This window comes from Homo sapiens, chromosome 11, assembly GCF_000001405.40.
Source record: "Homo sapiens chromosome 11, GRCh38.p14 Primary Assembly".
Taxonomy (NCBI): domain Eukaryota; kingdom Metazoa; phylum Chordata; class Mammalia; order Primates; family Hominidae; genus Homo; species Homo sapiens.
This window is the reverse complement of record NC_000011.10, coordinates 54,705,508-54,714,200: the sequence shown is the minus strand read 5'-3', so window position 1 is coordinate 54,714,200 and position 8,693 is coordinate 54,705,508. Positions and strand designations below refer to the sequence as shown.

The 8,693-nt window shown below is 38.9% G+C and overlaps 1 protein-coding gene across 1 annotated transcript; it reads right to left on the bottom strand.

Annotated features, from left to right (window-relative positions):
* Positions 1–6,298: 6,298 nt before the first annotated feature.
* OR4A5 (olfactory receptor family 4 subfamily A member 5) lies at positions 6,299–7,369 on the bottom strand. The gene has a single exon (NM_001005272.3). The coding sequence runs from the start codon at positions 7,314–7,316 to the stop codon at positions 6,369–6,371; it is 948 nt and encodes a 315-aa protein (NP_001005272.3). The 5' UTR covers positions 7,317–7,369; the 3' UTR covers positions 6,299–6,368.
* Positions 7,370–8,693: the final 1,324 nt, after the last annotated feature.

Genomic DNA, 8,693 nt, shown 5'->3' with positions numbered 1-8,693 from the left:
CCACCGCAGCTCAAGGAGGCCTGCCTGTGTCTCTAGACACCACCTCTGGGGGCAGAGCATTGCCAAATAAAAGGCAGCAGAATCCTCTGCAGATTTAAATGTCTCTGTCTGACAGCTTTGAAGGAGTAGTGGTTCTCCCAGCATGCAGCTGGAGATCTAAGAACAGACAGACTGCCTCCTCAATGAGTCCCTGACCCTCGAGTAGCCTAACTGGGAGGCATCCCCAAATAGAGGCAGACTGACACCTCACACGGCCGGGTACTCCTCTGAGACAAAACTTCCAGAGGAATGATCAGGCAGCAGCACTTGCTGTTCACCAAAATCCACTGTTCTGCAGCCTCCGCTGCTGATACCCAGGTAAACAGGGTCTGGAGTGGACCTCCAGCAAACTCCAACACACCTGCAGCTGAGGGACCTGACTGTTAAAAGGAAAACTAACAAATACAAAGGACATCGAAACCAAAACACCAACTGAATGTCACCATCATCAATGATCTAATGTAGATAAAACCACAAAGATGGGGAAAAAAAGAGCAGAAAAACTGGAAACTCTAAAAATCAGAGCACCTCTCCTCCTCCAAAGGAATGCAGCTCCTCACCAGCAATGGAACAAAGCTGGATGGAGAATGACTTTGACGAATTGAGAGAAGAAGGCTTCAGACCATCAAACTACTCTGAGCTAAAGGAGGAATTTCAAAACCATGGCAAAGAAGTTAAAAACCTTGAAAAAAAAATTAGACGAATGGCTGACTAGAATAACCAATGCAGAGAAGTCCTTAAAAGACCTGATGGAGCTGAAAACCAAGGCATGAGGACTACGTGACAAATGCACAAGCCTCAGTACCTGATTCAATCAACTGGAAGAAAGGGTATCAGTGATGGAAGATAAAATGAATGAAATGAAGCAAGAGAGAAGTCTAGAGAAAAAAGAATAAAAATAAATGAAGCCTCCAAGAAATATGGGATTATGTGAAAAGACCAAATCTACTTTTGATTGGTGTACCTCAGAGTGACGGGGAGAATGGAACCAAGTTGGAAAACACTCTGCAGGATACTATCCAGGAGAAATTCCCCAATCTAGAAAGGCAGGCCAACATTCACATTCAGGAAATACAGAGAACCCCCCAAAGATACTCCTCAAGAACAGCAACTCCAAGAAACATAATTGTCAGATTCACCAAAGTTGAAATGAAGGAGAAAATGTTAAGGGCAGCCACAGAGAAAGGTCGGGTTACCCACAAAGGGAAGCCCATCAGACTAACTACTGATCTCTCAGCAGAAACTCTACAAGCCAGAAGAGAGTGGGGGCCAATATTCAACAGGCTTAAAGAAAAGAATTTTCAACTCAGAATTTCATATCCAGCCAAACTAAGCTTTATAAGTGAAGGAGAAATAAAATCCTTTACAGACAAGCAAATGCTGAGAGATTCTGTCACCACCAGGCCTGCCATAAAAGACCTCCTGAAGGAAGCAATAAACACGGAAAGGAACAACCAGTACCAGCCACTGCAAAAACATGCCAAATCGTAAAGACCATTGAGGCTAGGAAAAAACTGCATCAACTGACTAGCAAAATAACTAGCTAAGAGCATAATGACAGGATCAAATTCACACATAACAATATTAACTTTAAATGTAAATGGTCTAAGTGCTCCAATTAAAAGACACAGACTGACAAATTGAATAAAGAGTCAAGACCCATCATTGTGCTGTATTCAGGAAATCAATCTCACATGCAGAGACACACATAGGCTCAAAATAAAAGGATGGAAGAAGATCTACCAAGCAAATGGAAAACAAAAATCCAGGGGTTGCAATCCTAGTTTCTGATAAAACAGACTTTAAACCAACAAAGATCAAAAGAGACAAAGAAGGCCATTACATAATGGTAAAGGGATCAATTCAACAAGAAGAGCTAACTATCCTAAATATGTATGCACCCAATACAGAAGCACCCAGATTCATAAAGCCAATCCTTAGAGACCTAGAAAGAGACTCAAACTCCCACACAATAATAATGGGAGACTTTAACTCCCCACTGTCACCATTAGACAGATCAATCAGACAGAAAGTTAACAAGGATATCCAGGAATTGAACTCAGCTCTACACCAAGGAGACCTAATAGACATCTACAGAACTCTCCACCACAAATCAACAGAATATACATTCTTCTCAGCACCACACCACACCTATTCCAAAAGTGACCACATAGTTGGAAGTGAAGCACTCCTCAGCAAATGTAAAAGAACAGAAATTATTATAAACTGTGTCTCAGACCACAGTGCAATCAAACTAGAACTCAGGATTAAGAAACTCACTAAAAACCGCTCAACTAGATGGAAACTGAACAACCTGCTGCTGAATGACTACTGGGTAAATAATGAAATGAAGGCAGAAATAAAGATGTTCCTTGAAACCAATGAAAACAAAGACACAGCATACCAGAATCTCTGGGACACATTCAAAGCAGTGTGTAGAGGGAAATTTACAGCACTACATGCCCACAAGAGAAATCAGGAAACATCTAAAATTGGCACCCTAACATCACAATTAAAAGAGCTAGAAAGGCAAGGGCAAACACATTCAAAGCCAGCAGAAGGCAAAAAATAACTAAGATCAGAGCAGAACTGAAGGACACAGCGACACAAAAACCCTTCAAAAAATCAATGAATCCAGGAGCTGGTTTTTTGAAAAGATCAACAAAATTGATAGACCACTAGCAAGACTAATAAAGAAGAAAAGAGAGAAGAATCAAATAGACGCAATAAAAAATGATAAAGGGGATATTATCAATGATCCCACAGAAATACAAGCTACCATCAGACAATACTATAAACACCTCTACGCAAATAAACTAGAAAATCTAGGAGAAATGGACAAATTCCTGGGCACATACACCCTCCCAAGACTAAACCAGGAAGAAGATGAATCTCTGAATAGACCAATAACAGGCTCTGAAATAGAGGCAATAATTAATAGCTTAACAACCAAAAAAAGTCCAGGACCAGACGGATTCACAGCCGAAATCTACCAGAGATACAGGGAGGAGCTGGTACTATTCCTTCTGAAACTATTCCAATCAACAGAAAAAGAGAGAATCCTACCTAACTCATTTTATGAGGTCAGCATCATCCTGATACCAAAGCCTGGCAGAGACACAACCAAAAAAGAGAATTTTAGACCAATATCCCTGATGAACATTGATGCAAAAATCCTCAATAAAATACTGGCAAACCGAATCCAGAAGCACATCAAAAAGCTTATCCACCATGATCAAGTGGGCTTCATCCCTGGGATGCAAGGCTGGTTCAACATACCCAAATTAATAAATGTAATCCAGCATATAAACAGAACCAAGGAAAAACACCATATGATTATCTCAATAGATGCAGAAAAGGCCTTTGTCAAAATTCAACTACCCTTCATGCTAAAAATTCTCGATAAATTAAGTATTGATGGGACATATCTCAAAATAATAAGAACTATCTATGACAATCCCACAGCCAATATCATATTGAATGGGCAAAACCTGGAAGCATTCCCTTTGACAACTGGACAAGACAGGGATTCCCTCTCTCACCACTCCTATTCAACATAGTGTTGGAAGTTCTGGCCAGGGCAATAGGCAGGAAAAAGAAATAAAGGGTATTCAGTTAGGAAAAGAGGAAGTCAAATTTTCCCTGTCACAGATGACATGATTGTATATCTAGAAAACCCCATCGTCTCAGCCCAAAATCTCCTTAAGCTGATAGGTAACTTCAGCAAAGTCTCAGGATACAAAATCAATATGCAAAAATCACAAGCATTCTTATACACCAATAACAGACAAACAGAGAGACAAATCATGAGTGAACTCCCATTCACAATTGCTTCAAAGAGAATAAAATACCTAGAAATCCAACTTACAAGGGATGTGAAGGACCTCTTCAAGGAGAACTACAAACCACTGCTCAATGAAATAGAAGAGGATACAAACAAATGGAAGAACATTCGAATCTCATGGGTAGGAAGAATCAATATCGTGAAAATGGCCATAGTGCCCAAGGTAATTTATAAATTCAATACCATCCTCATCAAGCTACCAATGACTATCTTCACAGAATTGGAAAAAAACTACTTTAAAGTTCACATGGAACCAAAAAAGAGCCCGCATTGCCAAGTCAATGCTAAGCTAAAAGATCAAAGCTGGAAGAATCACGCTACCTGACTTCAAACTATACTACAAGTCTACAGTAACCAAAACAGCACTGTACTGGTACCAAAACAGAGATGTAGACCAATGGAACAGAACAGAGCCCTCAGAAATAATGCCACGTATCTACAACAATCTGATCTTTGACAAAGCTGACAAAAACAAGAAATGGAGAAATGATTCCCTATTTAATAAATTGTGCTGGGAAAACTGGCTAGCCATATGGAGAAAGCTGAAACTGGATCCCTTCCTTACAACTTATACAAAAATTAATTCAAGATGGATTAAAGACTTCAATGTTAGACCTAAAACCATCAAAACCCTAGAAGAAAACCTAGGCAATATCACTCAGGACATAGGCATGGGCAAGGACTTCATGTCTAAAACACCAAAAGCAATGGCAACAAAAGCCAAAATTGACAAATGGGATCTAATTAAACTAAAGAGCTTCTGCACAGCAAAGGAAACTACCATCAGAGTGAACAGGCAACCTACAGAATGGGAGAACATTTTTCCAACCTACTCATCTGACAAAGGGCTAATATCCAGAATCTACAATGAACCCAGACAAATTTACAAGAAAAAAACAAACAACCCCATCAAAAAGCGGGCAAAGGTTATGAACAGATACTTTTCAAAAGAAGACGTTTATGCAGACAAAGACACGTGAGAAAATGCTCATCATCACTGGCCATCAGAGAAATGCAAATCAAAACCACAATGAGATACCATCTCACACCAGTTAGAATGGCGATCATTAAAAAGTCAGGAAACAACAGGTGCTGGAGAGGTTGTGGAGAAGTAGGAACACTTTTACACTTTTGGTGGGACTGTAAACTAGTTCAACCATTGTGGAAGTCAGTGTGACGATTCCTCAGGGATTTAGAGCTAGAAATACCATTTGACTCAACCATCCCATTACTGGGTATATACCCAAAGGATTATAAATCATGCTGCTATGAAGACACATGCACACGCATGTTTATTGTGGCACTATTCACAATAGCAAAGACGGAACCAAGCCAAATGTCCAACAATGATAGACTGGATTAAGAAAACGTAGCACGTATACACCATGGAATACTATGCAGCCATAAAAAAGGATGAGTTCATGTCCTTTGTAGGGACATGGATGAAGCTGGAAACCATCATTCTCAGCAAACTATTGCAAGGACGAAAAACCAAACACCACACTGTCTCACTCATAGGTGGGAATTGAACAATGAGAACACATGGACACAGGAAGGGGAACATCACACACCGGGGACTGTTATGGGATGGAGGGAGTGGGGAGGGATACCATTAGGGATATACCTAATGTTAAATGACGAGTTAATGGGTGCAGCACACCAATGGTGCATGTATACATATGTACCAAACATGCACATTGTGCACATGTACCCTAAAACTTAAAGTATAAAAAAATAAATAAATAAATAAAGAACACCAGTGAAAAGATTAACCATTACATATTCGACATAATTTACAAGAAACATAAAAGAACAAGAAATTGTTGGTTTCAAACATAAAAGTGGTTCCCCTTTCCACTGTCTGCAAGAGCTAAGTACTCTAAACCCAAGAAAGGTCATCAAAATAAATGTCATTTGAAAGTTATGGATGTTATGACACTTAGAAAGACTACAGAAAAATTTAACGGTGTGTCTCATAAGTACCTTAAACTAGAGAATCATAATTCTAAGATTCTTAAAGTGTTATATGACTGCATATAGAGTTTCAGCCCAAGTCTGGGATGGACCAGTTTCAAAGATATTTTTGAGTATGGTCCTTGTATATTCCACAAAATCTTTAAAAACTTACACTAAGGGAAGCATCACAGCCTTCCCTTCTGAACAGGGGCATCCATTTTATTACCTATTCCTCTCTTTCTCCATTGTGTGCTGAGAATGTGGAGGAAATACCCTGTCTCAAAGATCTGTAAATAGTAAAAGCCATAATTTAAAATGTGCACAGTAAAACCCGCCCCCAAGGAGCCCCATCCACACTCAGTCTCGATGTAGAAGTTGAGATCTTGAACTTCAATCAGATGTCATGATGGGATGACTTTGTAATTGAGCTAGGAGCATCCAAATCCTGTCTTCTTTCTTTGGGATCCTTGACTTGCCCTTAGAAACCTGAAAACTTCACTGGGAAGACCTTGACTACATACCTCCTTACCTACATGAGGACGGACACTCCTCCTATAATAAATATAGTTAACTTTTTACCCAAGAGTTTTTCTATAGCATTTCTCATCTCTGAATTTCTCAACGTATATATTAAAGGACTCAGCATGTGTGTGATAATGGTATAAAACACAGTCATGAACTTATCAGTAGGAAAGTTTGAAACAGGTCTAACATATATGAAAATACAGGGTACAAAAAAGAGGACAACAACGGTACTGCCGGAGCTGCAGGTAGACAAGGCTTTACCCCTCTTTTCCTGACTGTAAGTTTTAAGGGAGCTTAGGATGACTCCATAGGAGATTAACAGAAGGTTGAAAATGACCATACAGATTGCTCCACTATTGACAACAACAGTGAGGCCTATAAAGTAGGTGTCAGTGCATGCCAGTTCCAGTAATGGGTGCATGTCACAACTGAAATGAACAATGACATTGGGACCACAGAAAGGGAGACTGTACACAACAATTTGAAACGCAGAATGTACAAAACCTCCAATCATGGCCACCACCAACAGAAGGAAGCAAACCTGTCGATTCATGATGGTCAAATAGTGCAGTGGCTTACAGATGGCCACATAGCGATCACAGGCCATCACCACCAGAAGGAAGACCTCAGCCCCACCAAAGAAATGGTCTATAAATAGCTGGCCCATGCAACCTTGGAAGGAAATAGTCTTTTTATCACAGAATAAGCCTACAATTAACTTGGGAGAAATGGTAGTGGAATATGCAGCATCTATAAATGACAGGCAGGCAAGGAAGAAATACATTGGGGAACCCAAGGAAGGGCTGGCAATAATATCCACCACAATGAGCAGGTTCCCCACCACTGTCACCAAGTATGTGAGTAAAAACATGACAAATAATGCTTTTTGCACACCAGGATCCTGAGAAAAGCCCAGGAGGACAAATTCTGTAATATTGTTATTCTGTCTCATTTACTCTTCTTTAAGGCTTGTATCAGAGGTGAGAGCTCAGGGAAACAGGGCCTGTAACGAAATAGTGATCAGGAATATGATTACATCCATTGTGTCACAGGGCACATCTTCATTGCTGTATCCTGAATAGTGATTTACACATAATAAATATTTAGTAAGTCTCTATTGAGTTCCTCACCCAAAGAGCCCATCTTGCCCTGATGATTCTATTTCTCCTCAAATATTTTAGTTTCAGTGCACAGGTAAAGGCTTCTACCTCTAAGTTTTAGTGAATATTCTATATAGAAGAACAGTTAAAGTCCCAACAGCCATTTGTACATTTCATAATTTCTGATTTAAAACATTTTATTGGCATGGAAGTCAGCTGTGATGAATAGGCAATGGGTCCTTCATCTCAAGAAACTTACTCTCTGGTGGTGGTAATAAACTCTAAATAAATAAATTGACATAGATTTAGTCCTTTATGTTTGTACTTGTGGTATCTTTGTAATATAATCTGTATAGCACCAAGAATAATCTCTTCTGGAATATCTCACTCAGTACTCTGACCTTCTACTGCTAGAACTTCATTCCTTCATGCCTCAAAGGATGTTCATTAGTCTTTCATTAAATGTCAAAAGACAAGACTCTGAACTGTATAAATGCTATGACATTATTTATCACATTGTTCCTTGTAGCAATTACTTGATGTGACTCTCTGTTCTCTTTATAAGGATCTGTGATTCTGTCCATTTTATCCTTGCCTGTACACAAATTTTTACAACACATATATACAATATCCTAATTTTCAGCAATTAATTTTGAACTCAAGTGAACTAACTCATGACTGTCACTAACTACCGAATAAGCAGTTAGTACTTTTTTCTGAATTCTTGGGAGGAGCTAGTTAGTGAGATAGAAGAAAATAGACACTGTAGAAAGAGGGACATGGTTTTATTCATAACACAATTTAGATACCAAGAGTACTCAAAAATGTAATCTTAGTTACAAGATTTCAAAAAGAATCATACTCTAAGAGAAATTCCAAGTTCAGTGTAAGAAGGCACGGATTTGATTCTGAATACATTTACAAGTCTGCCTCAGTTTGCTCACTGGAAAACAATGGGATTAAATTTGAGAAATTCAGAATCCTTTCTAGTCAATTATCTACAGAACTATTCATGCACCTCTCTTTTATGATATTCTGCTGACAATTTGTTTTTCATTTTTTATAAATTTATAATTAAATAAAAATTTCCAAGCTCATGACGTTTACATGAAAAATGGTAGTCAGTGGGACATGGGGTTTCATGATTACAGTGAATAAATAGTGACTATACGTGTCTCATTCAGCATGTACCTATTTAAGATCCAAGACATCTTTGGAGAGAAAGTGTA